This window comes from Homo sapiens, chromosome 10 (genome assembly GCF_000001405.40).
Source record: "Homo sapiens chromosome 10, GRCh38.p14 Primary Assembly".
NCBI classification, from domain to species: Eukaryota; Metazoa; Chordata; class Mammalia; order Primates; family Hominidae; genus Homo; species Homo sapiens.
This window is the reverse complement of record NC_000010.11, coordinates 128,082,276-128,102,417: the sequence shown is the minus strand read 5'-3', so window position 1 is coordinate 128,102,417 and position 20,142 is coordinate 128,082,276. Positions and strand designations below refer to the sequence as shown.

The window sequence follows — 20,142 nt, the reverse complement described above, 5'->3', positions numbered from 1 at the left end:
GACCTATAGAGGGAATAGACTAATATGGGAAAAGAACTAGTCAAACATGATTAATGCAAACTTAGAAGAGTTTCTCAAAAGCCAAATGAGTAATGTTCATCTTCAAATGTTTAAAAAATTGATCAGAGGATAGGTGGGTGGTTCAGTTCTATGTTCTGGATACTGTCACCAAGACCAGGACTGGGTTAAAAATCCTATCTATGTCACTATTTTAACTATCAGAACAATATCAATAAGGAATGTGTATTCTTGAGAAGGGGAAACTGTCTGGACTGTTAGATAGAGAGGCTCCCACTGCATGCAGAGAAGTTTGGGGAAACTCCAGAAATGGCAATTTCCTGTTCTGCCTTAGCAGTGATGGTTAAAGGAATAGGAATTCATTTACTCCCTGTAAATGAATGAATAACGGACCTTCTTTCTATAATGTAAACTGTAAAAATTAGATTTGATATATATCTTATTAGGCATTGTTATTGAAATTTATCCTGAATTCCTTATTTATAATTTGTCAGCAGAGACAGTCATTTCTCCATAGGAGCAAAGTACCAAGGCATTACCTTGACTATCCTAGATGACAAGTCTCTTAGACAATTCATCAGTGTGTGATTTTCAAATGATTTCTCCTTTTAGGTTACTGTTGATTGTGCTCCCTGTTGAATTTTGAAGTTTGTTTTACTAATTATTGGAATTTTGTGGATGTCTTCTCATTTCTTTAGGGAATATCCCTGCGCTCCAGACGCCAAAATAAGACTGAGGCAGAACAGCAAATAACTGAGGTCTTTGTATTAGCAGAAAGAATAGAAATAAACAGAAATGAAAAGAAGCCCATGAAGACCTCCCCAGAGATGGACATTCAGAATCCAGATGATGGAGCCCGGAAACCCATACCTAGAGACAAAGTCACTGAGAACAAAAGGTGCTTGAGGTCTGCTAGACAGAATGAGAGCTCCCAGCCTAAGGTGGCAGAGGAGAGCGGAGGGCAGAAGAGTGCGAAGGTTCTCATGCAGAATCAGAAAGGGAAAGGAGAAGCAGGAAATTCAGACTCCATGTGCCTGAGATCAAGAAAGACAAAAAGCCAGCCTGCAGCAAGCACTTTGGAGAGCAAATCTGTGCAGAGAGTAACGCGGAGTGTCAAGAGGTGTGCAGAAAATCCAAAGAAGGTAAGCCATTTACTGTTTCCCTGTTTTAAAAGACACAGAATGTTTTGATGTATTTTTTGCCCAAGGTTGCAAAGGCAAACAAAAAGCATTATCTTCAACAGCACTCTGCCAGCTCCCAGTTACATTAATGGAAGGAGCATTATGCTAAGACATAAATTTGGTCATTTTAGTTATATTTTGTTGTGTCTACTTTGGGAATTTCACTTCAAATAGCAAATTCACGTTATGAAGACTTTCTTCAGAAAGAAAAGGAATTTGTCTAGTGGCTAATTTCTGACTGCTTATGATGTACCTCATGATACAATTGTAGGTAGATGTCTTCAGCCTTTCTGTAGTTCAAAATCACCTCTTGAAACAGGAAAATTCTTTTTCCAAAAAAAACTATTGAAACAGAAAAATTTCCAAGGCATTCTTTGGAAAGGCAGAAGGAACAGAAGTTGGGATGTCCCTGAGACACATGCTCACTATGTGAGAGTTCCTGGTCAGTGGGGGATGCGTCTGCCCTCCAACCCTCCTCCAGCCAGAGACTATCTAAGCTAATGAACTTTAAGTGCTACTGAAATCACATCAAGTTGAGCCACTCATAATTACAAGCATGTGGACAAATCCATAAGAATGATTAGATTCCATTAGTGTTCTTCTGGGGAATACTTGGTTTAGCTAAAATAAAAATAGGTTGAATTGCTCCCTTTTTGTGAGCAATTCACAAAAATATAATATAAATTTAATTCTTAGCACACACAAAATTTGGACCTAAAACTACCATATTCTGAGTTCAGCAAACGAAACTCATGTAGCAATAACCTCTTCAGATACAGAATTCTGGCAAGTACAGCTGTCCAGACAGACCCTCTTCGGCACAAACTAGGAAGCTTCAACTGCCAAGAAAAGGAAAGATTCCCAGGTGTCCCCAGTACCTGCTGCATAGCCAGGCAGCCAGTGGAGGGGGAGGGCTTGTGTGTCTGGATGGTGGGCAGGAAGTCCTAGTGGGGAGATGCCCATAGACTGTTCCAGAGAGGGAAGAGGAGAGGCTCAAGAAGGGCACTGATGCCCACACAGGTGTCCTAAGTCAGAGACTGTACTTCTGGGGCAGGCTGGAAGCAGAAGACACCCGACAGTGCCAGACAAGGTCCTAGAAACCACAGGCACACCAGGGACGCAACAGCTGACGTGGGTCAGCACGTTCACCCGTCGAGTCTTACAATAAAACGCAGGCTCCAGGCGCTTACCGAATTCACAGTCTGGAAGGTGCTGCTTCCTCAGAATGAAACCAAAGAAGGGTGAAAGCGAATCTTTTAACTAGGATGATTCCTAAACACAGAGCAACCAGGCCCAAGGCTGAGCCAGGCCTGGTGTGTTCTGCCGGGGGCGTTCCAGCCTCTTCTCACACACAAGCACCCAGGAGACGCCCAACACACACATGCTCCTCTTTGCCGAGCTCTTCGGTGGGTGTCGGTAGTCCTAGAAAATGCATATATAAGATAGATTTTTTCCAGTAAGAAGCTTGTAGCCATGCTTTTCACCATGGTTCCTCTCCCTTAGCCAAGGGGTGAGAACTACTGCAAGAGTAAAGGCCAAGGCAGGTCTCCTGCATGCAAGTTGGGCATGCTTCTGTCTACAGGGGTTCCTTGGTTTAGGAGACCCAAAAGACTTAATCCTGGTTGGATTCACTTTTTCTGAGTGACATTTTTTAGTTTGTGAAAATGTGTGCATCGATGAAGAAATTTTATTATGAATTAGCTTAAAAATGCATTAGGAACTTCTGTATGAAAAGATCACATTATTTAAGTGTAAAAAAACTGCATAATAAAAGCAGTTCAAGTCAAGAAAAACAATGTTAATGGAATATATTTTAAAACTTATTTCCAACCTCAAAATTAATTTTCTGCAACTAAGGACCTGCATAATACCTAGTAAGCCTTTGGGGTTTTGCAGAGGAGGTCGATTCTAAAAATGGGTGTTTAAATTACTTAAGAGTTCTATTTTTTTTCTTCCCACACAGGCTGAGGACAATGTGTGTGTCAAGAAAATAAGAACCAGAAGTCATAGGGACAGTGAAGATATTTGACAGAAAAATCGAACTGGGAAAAATATAATAAAGTTAGTTTTGTGATAAGTTCTAGTGCAGTTTTTGTCATAAATTACAAGTGAATTCTGTAAGTAAGGCTGTCAGTCTGCTTAAGGGAAGAAAACTTTGGATTTGCTGGGTCTGAATCGGCTTCATAAACTCCACTGGGAGCACTGCTGGGCTCCTGGACTGAGAATAGTTGAACACCGGGGGCTTTGTGAAGGAGTCTGGGCCAAGGTTTGCCCTCAGCTTTGCAGAATGAAGCCTTGAGGTCTGTCACCACCCACAGCCACCCTACAGCAGCCTTAACTGTGACACTTGCCACACTGTGTCGTCGTTTGTTTGCCTATGTCCTCCAGGGCACGGTGGCAGGAACAACTATCCTCGTCTGTCCCAACACTGAGCAGGCACTCGGTAAACACGAATGAATGGATGAGCGCACGGATGAATGGAGCTTACAAGATCTGTCTTTCCAATGGCCGGGGGCATTTGGTCCCCAAATTAAGGCTATTGGACATCTGCACAGGACAGTCCTATTTTTGATGTCCTTTCCTTTCTGAAAATAAAGTTTTGTGCTTTGGAGAATGACTCGTGAGCACATCTTTAGGGACCAAGAGTGACTTTCTGTAAGGAGTGACTCGTGGCTTGCCTTGGTCTCTTGGGAATACTTTTCTAACTAGGGTTGCTCTCACCTGAGACATTCTCCACCCGCGGAATCTCAGGGTCCCAGGCTGTGGGCCATCACGACCTCAAACTGGCTCCTAATCTCCAGCTTTCCTGTCATTGAAAGCTTCGGAAGTTTACTGGCTCTGCTCCCGCCTGTTTTCTTTCTGACTCTATCTGGCAGCCCGATGCCACCCAGTACAGGAAGTGACACCAGTACTCTGTAAAGCATCATCATCCTTGGAGAGACTGAGCACTCAGCACCTTCAGCCACGATTTCAGGATCGCTTCCTTGTGAGCCGCTGCCTCCGAAATCTCCTTTGAAGCCCAGACATCTTTCTCCAGCTTCAGACTTGTAGATATAACTCGTTCATCTTCATTTACTTTCCACTTTGCCCCCTGTCCTCTCTGTGTTCCCCAAATCAGAGAATAGCCCGCCATCCCCCAGGTCACCTGTCTGGATTCCTCCCCATTCACCCACCTTGCCAGGTGCAGGTGAGGATGGTGCACCAGACAGGGTAGCTGTCCCCCAAAATGTGCCCTGTGCGGGCAGTGCCCTGTCTCCACGTTTGTTTCCCCAGTGTCTGGCGGGGAGCCAGGTGACATCATAAATACTTGCTGAATGAATGCAGAAATCAGCGGTACTGACTTGTACTATATTGGCTGCCATGATAGGGTTCTCACAGCGTCATCCATGATCGTAAGGGAGAATGACATTCTGCTTGAGGGAGGGAATAGAAAGGGGCAGGGAGGGGACATCTGAGGGCTTCACAGGGCTGCAAAGGGTACAGGGATTGCACCAGGGCAGAACAGGGGAGGGTGTTCAAGGAAGAGTGGCTCTTAGCAGAGGCACTTTGGAAGGTGTGAGGCATAAATGCTTCCTTCTACGTAGGCCAACCTCAAAACTTTCAGTAGGAATGTTGCTATGATCAAGTTGTTCTAACACTTTAGACTTAGTAGTAATTATGAACCTCACATAGAAAAATTTCATCCAGCCATATGCCTGTGGAGTGGAATATTCTGTTTAGTAGAAAAATCCTTTAGAGTTCAGCTCTAACCAGAAATCTTGCTGAAGTATGTCAGCACCTTTTCTCACCCTGGTAAGTACAGTATTTCAAGAGCACGCTAAGGGTGGTTTTCATTTTACAGGGCTGTTGATGATGGGTTAAAAATGTTCATTTAAGGGCTACCCCCGTGTTTAATAGATGAACACCACTTCTACACAACCCTCCTTGGTACTGGGGGAGGGAGAGATCTGACAAATACTGCCCATTCCCCTAGGCTGACTGGATTTGAGAACAAATACCCACCCATTTCCACCATGGTATGGTAACTTCTCTGAGCTTCAGTTTCCAAGTGAATTTCCATGTAATAGGACATTCCCATTAAATACAAGCTGTTTTTACTTTTTCGCCTCCCAGGGCCTGTGGGATCTGGTCCCCCAGCCTCTCTTGGGCTTTCTTACACTAACTCTGTACCTACCATCTCCTGCCTCCCTTAGGCAGGCACCTCCAACCACCACACACTCCCTGCTGTTTTCCCTGCCTGGAACTTTCCCTCCTGCCCCACCAAGATCATTTCATCCAGTCCTGAGCTCAGCTTAAGGGAGGCTTCTTGCCTGTGGGTTCCCTCACCCCCATGCCTGTCCTCCAGGCTGGGGCAGGTTCTTAGTTTGCCTGGAATTGTTCTGTACCTCTTTGTAGCACGTAGTGTTGTGGAAACTAAGCCACTAATTGAGTTTCTGGCTCCCCTCCTGGGGTTGTAAGTTTTGTTCATTCATGAGGGCCGACTGCATTTCCTGGTTACTCTATCCCAGTGACCAGCCACAGGAGATGTCCAATAAAGTATGTGATGAAATGGTCTTAAAACCCATGGTATTTTTATTATAGGGAGAGTGGGGAAAGAAACTAAGTGTGGGTGGGGCAGACAGGCCAGTGTAAGAGAGACTGGTTCATTACGTTCCATTTTCATTTCTACAAGGACTTGGCTGGATGGTCATTTTCTCTCTTGGCCAATAAGTCATCGCAGCTGCTTTTAGTCCTGCAGGAATGGCCTGCTGTATCTCGAGAACTACCTGCAACCGCAGCTGTGCCTGCTTTGTTGCAACAGAGGTGCTGAGTTGAGGGATGGGGATTTGACCCAGGGCTGCCCCAAGTCAGCAGATGAAAATACATGCCCTGACTTTCCTCTGGCAACCCTGATTTGACATGGATCCCGGGAGTGAATTTGCTGGCAAGTTCCAGGGGCAGTAGCCTGCGGTAGGTCAGTTAGTCCTGAAGAAGAGGCCTTTCTGTCGGAGAGAAAAGTTTGCAGGTGGGTGCATCTACCATCTTGAGAGGCTGAGGAGGGAGGGAGAGCCGTGCTCGGTGGTCAGTCTGGTGAAGGAAGTGGGTTCAGTCTGCAGCCCACATCCTGGGCTGTCATCAAGAATTAACATGGCAAACGGCGACTCCATAAAGTAAACTGTAGCTACTTAACTAAATGATTTCGTGTGGCTGAGATCCTACTGTTTGCTGGGTTTCCTGGAAAAGTCCTCTAGATGAACTGCAGGAATCTCCTGGCACTCTGGTTACAGCTGGAGAAACTGATTTCTGTGCTGTCCAGGTGCTCCCAGACCCCCAAGGCATCTCCAGGACACAGTCACCAAACCCCCATCCTGGTATTACTGGCATTGAGTGCCACGTAGGCACACAGCACTCCATAATTTGGAAATGTGGATTTCATTGCTATTGCTCTTCATGAGGGAACAAATAATACCCATGATGTATTGGCAGGAAGCCACGCCCCCCCTCCCCCGCTGCCACCCCCACAGCGCGCACAGTGATTTCAGGAAGGAGGTTTGATTGGTTTGTTGTGTGTTGCCCTGCAAGGGCCCCAATCAGCTTCCTGCTCATCAGCCCCATCTCAGGCAAGTCCCACATCTGTGATGTCAAGCCCTGAGCCGGGTAATTGGACTTGGATACCTGCTTGACTCATCTTTCCAGTGAGGTTCCTAAGGAGCATCCCCAACCCCACCTCCCAGGGGGAGCTCTCGATGTCACCTGAAGAACAAACAAACAAAAACTGTGTTGATGGTACAGTCCCAGGGCTCCGTGACTGGACAGGCTCCCTGCGTGATACACCTGTGTATGTCACTACAGAAATACAGCTGGTGCAGGCCTGTCCGCCTCTCTCACAGGTCAGAGTGTTCTAAAATCCATCCTGGCCCTTGTTGTCTGTCTGCTTGGGGTTAGGGCAGGTGCTCCTTTATCATTTGTAAAGTTTATGTGATGTCTGGTATGTGTTCCACACCCTTGCAGAGTGTAAATTCCTAGAGAGAGTTCAGACTTCGGAGTCAAATGCACAGGTGCAAATTCCAGCTTGTCTAATTTGCTGCTGTGTGAACGTGGACAGTCTTTCAACTTTGCTAGTTTCCCATCTGTAAAATGAGGCTGTTCAGTACCTGAGCACATAGCATTGTTGAGAAGATTAAATGAGACAATATGTGTAAAACACTTAGCATTTTACCCAGAGCTTGGTAAGCATCAATACATGCTAATTATCATCATCATCAGAAGATGAATATATTTATTAGATGCCTAAAACTCCAAGATATTTCCCTTGGCTCATAAATTCTTTATCACTAGGGATTTCTCTATGGAAGTGAAGGAAGAATCTGGAACGTAACAGGCCTGAATAACCAGGGGCAGTGGCTCACACCTGTAATCCCAGCACATTGGGAGGCCAAGGCTGGAGGATCGCTTGAGGCCAGGAGTTCAAGATCAGCCTGGGCAACATAGCGAGACCCCATCTCTACAAAAAAAAAAAAAAAAGAAAAAAGAAAAGAAAAAATTAGCGGGCATTGTGGCACATACCTGTAGTCCCAGCTACTTGGGAGGCTGATGTGGGAGGACTGCTTGAGCTCAGGAGTTCAAGGCTGCAGTGAGCTATGATTGTATCACTGCACTCCAGCTTGGTCAACAGAGCAAGACCCTGTCTCAAAAAAGAAAAATAAAAATCCTGAATAATATGTCTATGTCTTCATCGAGCCCACGTATTGAAAACTACCCAAACCACCAACAATGCAAAGAAACATTATTTAACTAAGAGTCGAGTAACCAAATTTCAGGGTTATCCAAACTGAATATGGCCTCTGCAGGAGAAAAGAATATGTGTGATGTGGCAGCCACAATCTGATACCATATTAACACTGTCTTTTATTTTTTTTTTTTTGAGACGGTCTCACTCTGTTGCACAGGTTGGAGTGTAGTGGCACAATCTTGGCTCACTGCAACCTCTGCCTTCAAGGTTCAAGAGATTCTCCTGCCTCAGCCTCTGAGGAGCTGGGATTACAGGCATGCACCACACATACCTGGCTAATATTTGTAATTTTTTTTTTAGGAGAGACAGGGTTTCACCATGTTGGCCAGGCTGGTCTCAAACTCCAGACCTCAGGTGATCCAGCCACCTTGGCCTCCCAAAGTGTTGAGATTACAGGCGTGAGCCACCATGCCCAGTCAACAGTGTCTTTAAATGACATCAGATCGCAGAACTTTGCTGAGCTTGGCCCAGACACAGGTCTGGCTAAAACAGGTGGTGCTGGGACCAGGCATGGCCAGGACATAGGGAAGCACATCCCTGCATAGAAAAGGTTCTGTGGATTTTAATCCAGGTCAGCAATTAGCAAACTTTTTCTGTCAAGGACCAGGCAGTAAATATGGCGGCTTCGTGGGCCATACTGTCTGTTATGCTGACTCACCTCTGCTGTTAAAGAACAGAAGCGGCTGTAGGCAACACGCAAGCAAACAGGCATGTCCAAAAAATGGCTAATAAAAACAGGCTGTGGGGCTGGGCACGGTGGCTCACGCCTGTAATCCCAGCACTTTGGGAGGCTGAGGCGGGTGGATCACTTGAGGCCAGGAGTTCGAGACCAGCCTGGTCAACATGGCGAAACCCAGTTTCTACTAAAAATACAAAAATTAGCCAGGTGTGGTGGTGGGCCCCTGAAATCCCAGCTACTCAGAAGACTGAGGCAGGAGAATTGCTTGAACCAGGGAGGCGGAGGGTGCAGTCAGCTGAGATCCAGCCCACTGTACTCCAGCCTGGGTGACAGAGTGAGATTCCATCTTAAGCAAAACAAAACAAAACAAAACAAGCAAGAAAACAACAACAACAACAAAAACCAGGCTGTGGGCCCATTTTGACTGAGGACCTTGGTTTGCATATCCCTGATCTAGAGAAATGAGTGATTTAACATATATGCCTCCTAGGACATATCACATTGAAATTAGCAGCCCTTGCAATATAACGGGTCATGAGCAGAGGGTGCATTTCACTTTGGGCTTTGGGGTCTTCCCGGGCCCTGGAACCCCCACCGGCTCCCAGCCCCAGGACGTTGGAAGCTGAGAGGCCTGGCTTCCAATCCCAGCCCTGTCCCTTGCTCGCTGCATGACTTGGGCCCATTGCTTGGCCTTTCTGAGCCTCAGTTTCCCTAGCTGGGAGAGTGAAGATGGCAATTTCTTGCCTCGTAGGGTTGTGAGGACAAAAGAAGAAAACTCGGGTGGATTGTGTAGCCTGGCCCCCATTCTCAGAAGGTCTCCAAGCGGTGCCGTCTTCCTCTTATCCCAGCGTGGCCTCAGCCTTCGAGAGGCCTAGAACTCTGGGAAAGGAGCAGTCAGGACTGGACACGACTCCAGGCTTTTCTTATTTCTTGTGTGGGGTCTGGAAAAGGAGAAGTGCAATTATATCCAAGGCCCCTCTTGGGCAGGGGTCTCAGATCCAGGCCAGGCTGATATGAGCAAGGGGAGGCGGGTCAGGCCAGGCAGCACTGTCAATTTTGATGTTGGGAGGGAGGAGGGGCATGACTGTGTATCAGCAAATTCCTAAATTTCCACCCTGGCTCGGGAGATGCAGCTTGTGCTGAAGTGAGTCACTTATTCCTGGGCCCCTCATCTGCCTGCTTGCTTCCATGTCCCCTAGAGCCAAAAACAACTATAGGAGCAACTTAGGGGAAAAGTTACCTATATTTATATATAAGCGTATGTATTTATATATAAATATGATAACTATAGATATAATCTAATATATTGTGTATAATATAAATTAAATATATTTAATGTAATGTATATAACTTAAGTATATTATATATTCATAACTATATAAAATATATAAATATACTAAATATTATTCACTAGGTTTTCATCATTGGCAACCTAAGTTCTATATAAATATATAAATATTATCTATGAAAATTTATACACAAATATGTATATAAAATGTTATAAATATATACATACATATTTAAGTAAAAATAATATATACATAAAATATATTATATGTTTATATAGATTTAGGTTGGCAATGATAAAAACTTAATGAAGAATTTTTAGTGTAATAAAAACTAGTCTCGTGGTAGCTCTTTGTGTTTCAGAATCCAGCTATTTGGCTCTGGGCCCGCCCTCTGTTACTCCGAGAAAGCACTGCTTTGGAGGTAACACAACGCTAGGTGGCCCCTGAGGCTCCCTGAGCACCGTCCGATACCCCTCTCAGAAGCACCTCTGCCCCCTCCTCTGTACAGCCCGCTTTGCTCGCCTGCCTCTTCCTTTGGATTCCAGGTTGGTCGGGGAAGCAATGGGCCATGTGTGTGCACCGTCTGTGCCTGCCTTCACCCACACGAGCCTGTTGGAAGACGACAGCCATATGGAAGACCGCTGAGCTACCCCGGCCCCCCAGCCCAGGCTAGTTGGGGTTACCCAACTACCAGCCAATCCCCAGACGTGAATGTGAATAAGCCCAGCCAGCATCACAGAGCTGCCTCGTCAATGTCTAGCTGACCCCAGATGCCACCTAAACAATTTGGGTTTCTCACGGCAGTTCTCTTCCCAACCTCTGTTCCCCTGGGTTCCTAAGAACTAAGGGTTGTGCCCACCAATCAAAGCAAGAGGGAAACGGGCCTTGGATTTTAAGGCGTTGCACTGCTGTGACTTGAAAAGGGATATGGTTTAAAATCATTCATTTAGGCCGGGCATGGTGGCTCACGCCTGTAATCCCAGCACTTTGGGAGGCCGAGGCAGGTGGATCATGAGGTCAAGAGATCGAGACCATCCTGGCCAACATGGTGAAACCCTGTCTCTACTAAAAATACGAAAATTAGCTGGGTGTGGTGGCTGGTGCCTGTAGTCCCGGCTACTCAGGAGGCTGAGGCAGGAGAATCGCTTGAACCCGGGAGGCGGAGGTTGCAGTGAGCCGAGATCGTGCCATTGCACTCCAGCCTGGCGACTGAGCGAGACTCCATCTCAATAAATAAATAAACAAACAAATAAGTAAATGATTAAAAATCAGTCACTTAAAGACATATTCTAAGATGAGACCCTCTTGCTCTATAAAACTGAAGGTCGTGTCCACTAAGAAGAGTGGATCTGACCTCAGCCCTGCACTGTGACGCCACATTCCATTAGGGCAGAGGAACAGCATCTGGCAAGAGAGGTCGTCCCAGAATTCTAAAGAGGCAGGATGGCCCTAGTATTCAAACTTGGACCACACAGATCTGCACGTCTCTCATCCCAGAAAGGAGAACCCAAAGTATGTGTCTCGGTTCATGATTCTGAGGATGAGGGAATTATGGAAGGCACCAAGTCCATTCATAAAACACACCACCCCCTCCCTGTCCCGGTTAATGACAGTGGGTGGTGGCTTGAGCATCAAAGTGGCCCATGATGTCTTGGTTTTGCTATCTGGTTATGCCATCTGGCTTTCTTGGTCTTCGTCCATTCATTTCCCTGGAGTCCTGGCCATGCTTTGCTTCTTACTAACCTTATGCAGAAGCCAAGGCAAGCGAGGACGAGGCATACTTGGAGTATTCCCACTGGAGTAACTTCTGCAACTAGAAGCTTTAGAGCTGTGACTGCCATACAGAGCCAAAGAAATGTAAGGTGCAGGGCGAGTGAGGGTCTTGGGAATTGCTGGAGATAATGGTGCTCTGTGCTTGCGGCGAGAGCAGTGAAGTGGTGAGACCAGTTTCTGAATGTAAACTTTTTATGACAACGGCTGCGAAGATGCCCAAAGTGGGCCCCTGTTGCCTATCATTGAGGTTTTGAGGCCACTTTTTAGGGAGTAATGCTAGGCGATACAGCCCCTCCCTAACCAGGCTTGCAATGGATTGCATGCCTGTTACATTTTGAGTGCCCAGGTTTCTGGTGGATTCTATTTGCCAGTCACTGTTGGTTTCAAATGTGAAGCATCTTTGCTATAAATAGACTCTACTGAGAGCTGCATGATTTGAAGAAACATTATACCTGTAATTACATTATTTTACTTGAAATATTAGTAAACACAACATGAACTATGTCTATTTGAATCAGTGTGGTACAGTTTGTACGTTCAAAACCTGAGCCTTAATACATAAAGTTAACTTCATTTATAAAATGCTCAAAAATAGGCAAAAATAAACTGCTGTTTAGAGATGCAAATATAGGTGGTAAAACTATTAAAAATCAAGGTTCTGTTTATAATTACAAAATGCAAGATATTGGCTATCAACAGAATAGAAACGTAGAGGATGTGTATATCCCATGGGCAGTGCTGACCTCCTTGGGGGCAGGGAGTGGGTGTCCTCCAACATATTTATGTGTCCTCAGAGCTTCCCCAGTGCTGAGCCTTTTCCTTAACAGGTGGATGGGTACGTGGCAGTTTTGTGCTGATTCGTTTTGAATGCATACTGGCTACATGTGTAAGCTTTCCTAAGACAAGTGACCACAGCACTGAGAGGGTATTACTGACCTCTTCTAGCAAGAACCACACAAAACAGACTCCTGACAGTGGGGTGGGACTGGGGTCCCTTTAACTGGAACAATCACCTGCAGCCCTTTTTCTTGCACTACAAAACTCCGTGGCTCCATCACACCAAGCGATCATGCTCTGTCTCCAGAGTATCAGCTCACTTGGTGTCTGGAGAGGAGGAGGATCAACATGATTCTCATGCTGAGGAAAGTTATATTAAACTAGGAATTCTGCATCTTTGGAGTTGTATTAAACCCACCTGCACATTTAAATCAATTACGCGGTGATTTTTCTCTTGGAAACAGTCTCACTCTGCCTCTCAGGCTGGAGTGCAGTGGTGCGGTCTCCACTCACTGCAACCTCTGCCTCCCAGGTTCAAGCAATTCTCATGCCTCAGTCTCCAGAGTAGCTGGGATTAGAAGCTCTTGCAACCATGCCCAGTTAATTTTTGTATTTTTAGTAGAGACAAGGTTTTGCCGTGTTTCCCAGTCTGGTCTCGAACTCCTGACTTGCCCAGCTCTGCCTTCCAAAGTTCTGGGATTACAGGCGTGAGCCACCGTGCCTGGCCTTCTCAAGTATTTTTAACGTGCCACACTGTTGTTTAATAACAGCTCAAAGGGCAAGGTATGCAGAGTGGCTGAATTTAGAGGGGCCACAGCAGCATAGGGGTGTTCTGGGTTGGAATTCTGTCTCTTCTGCTACCTCCAACCTAACTTTGGTCTAGTTTCATATCCTCCGGAAGCTTCTGTTTCTCAGCCCTTGAGGGGATATTGTGCAGATAATACCCATATAAAGGGCCCAGCACATAGGTGCTCATGGAACGAGAACTATCTGTGTATATGGCTCACTTTATAAACCTGAAATACATATTTTGAAAATAAGAAAAGAGAAACGAAGTGAATATGTTGATTGTTACTATCATAGTTGTTCTGGGCTAGTTGTTATAATGTGCTCATTATGCTTTCATCTTAATAGTGATTACTGAGAAAGCACTGGGATTTTCCATGCTCATTCAGATATCCTCTTTAATCACAAGCATTAGTGCTCACCACACAAGGGCCCCAAAGAACTGGTGTTGCGTTTGTTGGCCTCTGTTCTGAATGGCATCTGTTTGCATCCTTGAGGGAGGTTTTGCTCAGGAAAGGGTTATCAGTGAGGGCGGGATGCCCTAGGCAACCTTGGACAGGATTCAGTGGTTGGGAAAGGAGCGGCAGCCTAATACCTCAGCCACATGCTGGCCGCTCAGTGACACAAACCTCCAGGTGCACGGTCATTGGCAGACACTCCTGTAGGTGGCAATGCAGGCACCATCAGGATGACATCACTTTCATCCATGGGGCTTTTCAGTTTATTTGGAAACAAAATTGCTGGCTGATAATATTACCATGGACAGAGTGGGGGTGTGTTACTTTCAGAAGGAGGGCACTGTCATGTAACCTCAGCATCCAGAGCAGAGCCAAATGTGAAGCTCACACCTCGGTCCAGCCTCCGCTGGGGCCGCTGAGTGCTTATAGCAAAGGCTGCTGGTCCATATGCAAGAGGGAAACAGGTCTTGGTTTCTAAGGCACAGACGGGCTCCTTTAGCCTAGAATTCTGGAGGGGAACCTGATCCTGTGAAGTGTTTCTTGAAACTTCGTCTGATTCCTGGAAGAAGCCCAGAGTCTTATTTGAGATGAGACTAGTATGTTGCCACAATGTGCTGGGTGACAGGTGTCGAGGCATCACATGTGCTGCTTCCTGGAAAGTGCATTAAACAGGCTTCAGAGACACTCTGATAAAGGAACAGAAGGGGCATAGTTATAATAGGAAAGACAAAGGGTTAGTACCCGTGTTTTCAAAAGATTGACAATAAACAAACAAAATAATAATAATAAAAAAAGATTGACAATAAACCAACGAGGAAAACTCAGTTGGTGCAATGAGGAAAATGGATGAAACTATGAATGATGCTTCACTGATGAAACACAACCCACTTGTGAAAACATGCTCAGCCCAATAGAACTCTGGGACATGCAAATTAACATGAAGTCTGATTTTTTTTTTTTTTTTTTTTTTTTGCCTCTCAGGTGTGCAACGTCCCGGGTGAGTGACTTCTAGGGAGACAGCGCCATCATGCCCTATTGGTGAGTTGGTGCCCGGGAAGGTCCTTTGGAGGTGACAATTTGGTGGTTTCTACTTAAATTTAAAATGTGCCCTTTGACCTAGAAACTTCACTTCTAGGGAATTCTCCCATAGAACTAGTTTGCACGTTAGCAAACATACACACATGCAGGAGTATTCATTATACAGTTGAATTATAGAATTGCAGCATGTGGAAAGAAGTTAATGTCTGTCACTGGGGAGGTGGAGGTGACTCTCCAGACTTTGTTATGTTTATACTGTGGAATGCCAAGCAGCCATTAAACAGAAGTAGGAAGCTGTGTACGTGCTGACATGTCCAGGCAGAATGTTGACCAAAGAGGGCCATCTGCAAAACTGCCCATATGTGGCAGATTTAGTCACTTCTAAGACACAGTACTTTCACATATTAACCTCCCTAACATCAGGATTATCACAAAATTGGTGGGATCTTACAGGAATAAATGGCAGTATTTTTGCTTTCTTAGCAGAGCATAAAGTGATTTTGACAATGGTAGTCCTGGATTTGATGATATACCAGGAGTTTGACTGTTGTTCATAAAAGCAAACAATGTATATGTTTCTGTAACTATACAGATTTAAATTGCAGAGTGTTGTCTGTTTGGAGATGTACTCCAAAGTTACCAATGGATTGAGATGGGGAGAGGAATTAGGAAAAGGGCTAAATGCTCTTGGTGTGTTTCTGTTTGGTTTGAATGTTTGTAACAAACATGTCTCCCTATATTGCTGGTATTGCCCCGTCCTTTGAGACGAGGGGCAGTTGGCTCTGTTAGACCCTGGGCCAAGTGGGAGACCAGCTGTGGGCACTGAATGTGGAAGTGGCAATGTGAGCCCTGGCTGGGGCATGGCTGTCTTGGGCCCTGAAGCTGCCCTCCCAGCAAACCAGCAGATGGCCTGAGGGCCCCCAGGGATGAACATTGCTCCCGACTGACACACAGCTGCCACGCCCAATATGCAAGCTGTTAGAGGCCAAGCTTGGGAGCTTGGTGACCACAGCAGATGCCTTGATGTTGTGCGCCACTGTCCCTGGGTGTTCCTCTGATTTTGGCAACAGTAGGCCCACACGTGGGACATGCATGTGCCAGGGAGCTGACAGCCCTGGAACAAACTTTCCACCTGGTGGGCGAGAGCTGTGGGTCAGTGCTGCAGCATCCTGCTCCTTCATGCAGAAGATGTGGGGAGGCCCCTCGCACATCTCTGCAGAGTAGAGTTCCCAGTGTGGTCTCAGTAATGCTCCTCTGAGTGGCTTGCTCAGACACACACACTAATCGGTGCCCCTGGCTACCTGTCTGTCTCTCCTGAGGTCCCTCAGCACTCAGCGTCCTATCTGTGTATTTCTGTTGATAGTAGCTGCCTTTGAGGCTGGTCTGGCAAGCGTACTTTTGCAGACCTCAGCTCCTTCAGAGGCGTTGGGCTCAGGCAGGGCTATTTGGGTTCATTGGCCCCTGGTGGAGGCCCAGTTGGTGACTTCCTTTATGCCTCTTCCATACCTCCTTTTCCTTGGATCCCTCTGCCCCTCCCCACTGTGTCCAGCTGTGCCTGCACCTTCATGTATCCAGGTCTGCTTACCCCAGGGGAAGGGCCAAGACCACATCCACAGCAGAGTGGATGCTGCTTGTCTAGGATGGAACATTGGGACCCACAGACCCATAGAGAGAAACTGGTAACAAAAGGGCCCACAACAGCAAACACCATCTCACAGCAGGCGATTTTTTTTTTTTTTTTTTTTTTTGCAGAGGAATGAAATTAAGAGATTTAAAGACAAAAACACAGGCTGGTAGTCAAAGTAAAGGTTTATCCTTGCATCAGAATGGTTTAAATCTTGCAATTTGCATATACAAAGAGTTCAGCAACATTCACTGGCATTATAATCAGAGCAAGATCAAATTATAAATGTAATCAAAGAAAATATGATAGTTGAAACTGTAATAACATACATACATTATAAAGACTGCACATAAGTTAAACACAACTTAGTTAAACAAACAAACAAAAAAGTATCAGTAATTATACACTTAAAAGAATAACATGGGGATGTCTCCAAATGCTGAAACACAGGTGTCAGGCTCATTTAAAAAAGTGTTTAAAAACACATAAAAATACCTTTTAAAACACTGGTATGCATTCTTCATTCATATAGCACATGGAGAGAAACCGTAAAGGCAGTCACATAGTGACCAGATCACACACAGATCAGAATGGTCGTCTTCTAATCACTATTTGGCATTTGAACCCAACTGCATGCAACAAAGGAAAGTGTGAAAGGAACAATGGTGTCGGCACTGGGCTGTTTGGGGGCTGTTTTGTTATGTACAATGGACTTTCTTTGACTGAAGGAAACAAGAGATGAACTTTCCAGGTTGCACGGAGAAGATTCTGAGTCCCTCAGGGATTGATTCCCCCAGCGTGAGGTGCTCCAAGGCCCAGGAGATCCTGTGATCTGGGGCCTTGGTAGAGGCCATGAGGCTGTAATGACCTCCCCGCTAAAGGGCGAACGCTGTCCCGGACAGTGGAGGGGAGAGTCTTGCGTCCTGGGGAAAGTGGCTTCTCCTTTGTTCCTGGAATGGAAAAAGTTTGGGAACAGGCAGAACCCCTGCAGTGGACACCTGGGGTTGGTCTAAGGGGACAGGAAAAAAACATGAGCAGGGCCCTTTCCTGAGGGCACCCTGAAAAGGTCTACCTTAAAGGTACTTCTTGATACAAGAGATGCCAGTTAGACCATTAAAGGGCTTCAAGGATTCTGACAGAGGGCTCCTAGACATGAACCAAAGCCGGTGCCCCTCGACTTTGACTTCGAACTCTCAAATAAATGACCAGAGAAATGTCACCTTCATCGTAGCAAACTGGCTCTTTTTCTAGGGTTCAGGTGCTGAACAGAAGCTTACTTCCCTCTCTTCTCCTTCAGTCAAACAAAGGCTTTGGGTTTGGAATTTTAATGGTGAAAACAAAAGGGACCTGGCGAGCCTCAAAAAGCTCCATTTTCCTCTTCCGCCGAGATGCTGAATCATTGTACAGAGAAGGAGAGAGGAGCACGTTCAGCAGTGTGCAGCCCAGGCATGCAGCTGGTGAGGATGGCGGTCACAAAGTGTGCTTTCGTCCTTCCAGCTGGGCACCAAGTCTTGCCCTTGGATGGGGCTCAGAGCCGTGGAGTGGGCGAGAAGCTTGATTCCCTGTGAGCATCTATCAGAACAATAATGTGTCCTGGGGTTGCATTTGCACACACTGTTAATGAATAGGGGACGAACACTGCAACATGAGGGTGCGATCAGTTATCAGTGAAAATGTCAAATAAGGCCTTTATGTAGCTTTTAGAAAACAAAAAAAAAAGTACCAAAAATGCACGTGTTAAATGCTTTTAGTAGTAAGGTAGGCCAGATATCTTTTTGTTTATATTGTGCACATCTGCTAGGTACCTAATGGCCATAGAAAGATAACTGCTGTAAGATTCAGTGTTGGTACATTCACACCCCATTCTTTTTTTTTTTTTTTCCCCGTCAGTCAATCTTATCTGGTAATGGGATCATTACTGTTATCCAGTGTCAATGGTCTCAGTAGTATTTCCATTCAAAAATAATTTAGCTTTTAGATTAAGGATTTCTCTTTTTGTTTTATTAAACATTGAAAGGTGGGACTTTAAAAAATGGTATAAATCTAGATTTTAAGGATTCTTTTCTTACAAACTGTCTCAGCTTTTTACAAGAAATGTTTAAATACCAAAATGCTGCTCAGAAAATTTAAAGTTTAATTGCCCGTGGTTATTCTACTGTTTCTATCCTAATGTGTGCTCCTCTGTACTGCGTGTGTAAGACGCTCAGTTCATCTGAATGTTTGGATGGGAAGTTTTGTGTTGAGCCTCCAGGCATAGCACTGGACCAGCCCAGGCCGCTGTGGCAGAACGGGAGGGGAGAATGGGAGAGGCAGCTGGTTTTTTTCTGAGGGTGGTCTGGGCCAAACGACAGGCAGCTGGACAGCAAATGGTGCTTTGGGGTGTAACTCCGATGGCTGGTTTTGTTGTACCCAACGCCGTGGGTCAACGGGACCACCCAGCATTTACATCTCTTCTCGTTCAGCCAAGATAGTGTAGACACAGTCTTGATGGTGTAGACACAGCATTTTAAAATATTATTTATAGTCACCAGCTACTCTAGTGTGTTTTAGACCTGGATTCAGGTTGTAAAGACTTCTTTGATCTTTAAAATGTAAAGATAAACCACATGGACCGAAACTGAGAACTTTACAGAAGTCCCCATTTACATTGTACCATCACGAACAGTTTGCCTTCCAAAAATGCTGCTGTTCAGGGTTGTGAATTCACTGTTAGGAAAGTGCATTTTCGAACTGACTTCTGAGTCCTCAACTGTTTTCTTAACATGAGCTTTGTGTTAGTATCTTGCAGAGGCACACTTCGCATATTAAGATTACAACATTTAAAGGTGTTGAATATGTGAAATTAAATGATATGAATCTAATGAAAAATTAAGATATTTACTAATATTAGCAGAAATATATATTTTATGGGATATTATTTGACCTTAATACATTATTCCAATTTTTAAAAAGCATATTTAAGATTTAACAACTGTATAGCAGGTGGCCTTTAAGGCATAACAAAATATATACAAAGAAATTAGGGAAGATATTAATGTCAACTATGAAATAAATTAACATGATTTTTACAAAATATACTGACCATTAAATTAAAAAATATTTTAAGGCAGGAATCTTCATTTGAAATTAGCATAATCAGAAAATATATCAATAAAATCTTGTACCACTTTGTAGCAGAATTCATACTGTTCCTGAAAAGACAAACAAGGACACATTAAAATGATATTCCCAAAAATATATTTGATTAATCAGGAGAAATACTCAAAAACAAGACATAAATAAGTGTGACTATTCATTAAAATACCATATACCTTTATGCACATCGTAATTTAGTTTTTAGGCACATGCAGAATTCCAAATAAAGCTGTTTTTCTACGTAGAATGTGTCAGTTAGTGTATTAACATTTCAACTTAGTGTATTTAATGGGCTGAGTTAAATGTCTGTGGCTTTCACATTGAAACTGGAAAACAACTATTTTTGAATTTAAAAAAAAAAACAAAAAACCAGGCCAGGTGCAATGGCTCAACGTCTGTAATAAGAGCACTTTGAGAGGCTGAGGCAGGAGGATCACTTGAGCCCAGGAGTTCCAGACCAGCCTGGGCAACATGGTGAAACCCCATCTCTATCAAAAAAGATACAAAAATTAGCTGGGCATAGTGGTGCACACCCATAGTCCCAGCTACTTGGGAAGCGGAGACAGGAGGATTCCTTGAGCCCAGGAGGCAGATTGCAGTGAGCCAAGATTG

General features: G+C 44.9%; 2 protein-coding genes across 26 annotated transcripts in view, besides 2 other annotated features; one reads left to right on the top strand and one right to left on the bottom strand.

Moving 5' to 3' along the window:
• MKI67 (marker of proliferation Ki-67) overlaps positions 1-5,759 on the top strand; it is a 29,765-nt gene extending 24,006 nt beyond the window's left edge. For all 4 annotated transcript variants that reach the window (NM_001145966.2, NM_002417.5, XM_011539818.3 and 1 more), the window contains 2 exons: positions 717-1,160; positions 3,163-5,759. In NM_001145966.2, coding sequence (NP_001139438.1) covers positions 717-1,160; positions 3,163-3,228 — 510 coding nt within the window. In that variant the 3' untranslated portion in view covers positions 3,229-5,759. The remainder of the gene's footprint in view (positions 1-716; positions 1,161-3,162) is intronic.
• Positions 10,030-10,529: an enhancer, noted in NCBI's record as "H3K4me1 hESC enhancer chr10:129890153-129890652 (GRCh37/hg19 assembly coordinates)". NCBI's record gives its function as "activates a minimal SCP1, AML or CMV promoter by ChIP-STARR-seq in naive H9 embryonic stem cells {active_cell/tissue: H9 hESC(naive)}" and the evidence as "EXISTENCE:reporter gene assay evidence [ECO:0000049][PMID:30033119]".
• Positions 10,530-11,031: an enhancer, noted in NCBI's record as "H3K4me1 hESC enhancer chr10:129889651-129890152 (GRCh37/hg19 assembly coordinates)". NCBI's record gives its function as "activates a minimal SCP1, AML or CMV promoter by ChIP-STARR-seq in naive H9 embryonic stem cells {active_cell/tissue: H9 hESC(naive)}" and the evidence as "EXISTENCE:reporter gene assay evidence [ECO:0000049][PMID:30033119]".
• The window catches only part of PTPRE (protein tyrosine phosphatase receptor type E), a 178,753-nt gene continuing 175,173 nt past the window's right edge, over positions 16,563-20,142 (bottom strand). For 19 of the 22 annotated variants that reach the window (NM_001316676.2, NM_006504.6, XM_047425578.1 and 16 more), the window contains one exon: positions 16,563-19,586. In NM_001316676.2, coding sequence (NP_001303605.1) covers positions 19,512-19,586 — 75 coding nt within the window. In that variant the 3' untranslated portion in view covers positions 16,563-19,511. The remainder of the gene's footprint in view (positions 19,587-20,142) is intronic. The other 3 variants (XM_017016467.2, XM_011539995.2, NM_001316677.2) reach the window with 1 other exon arrangement.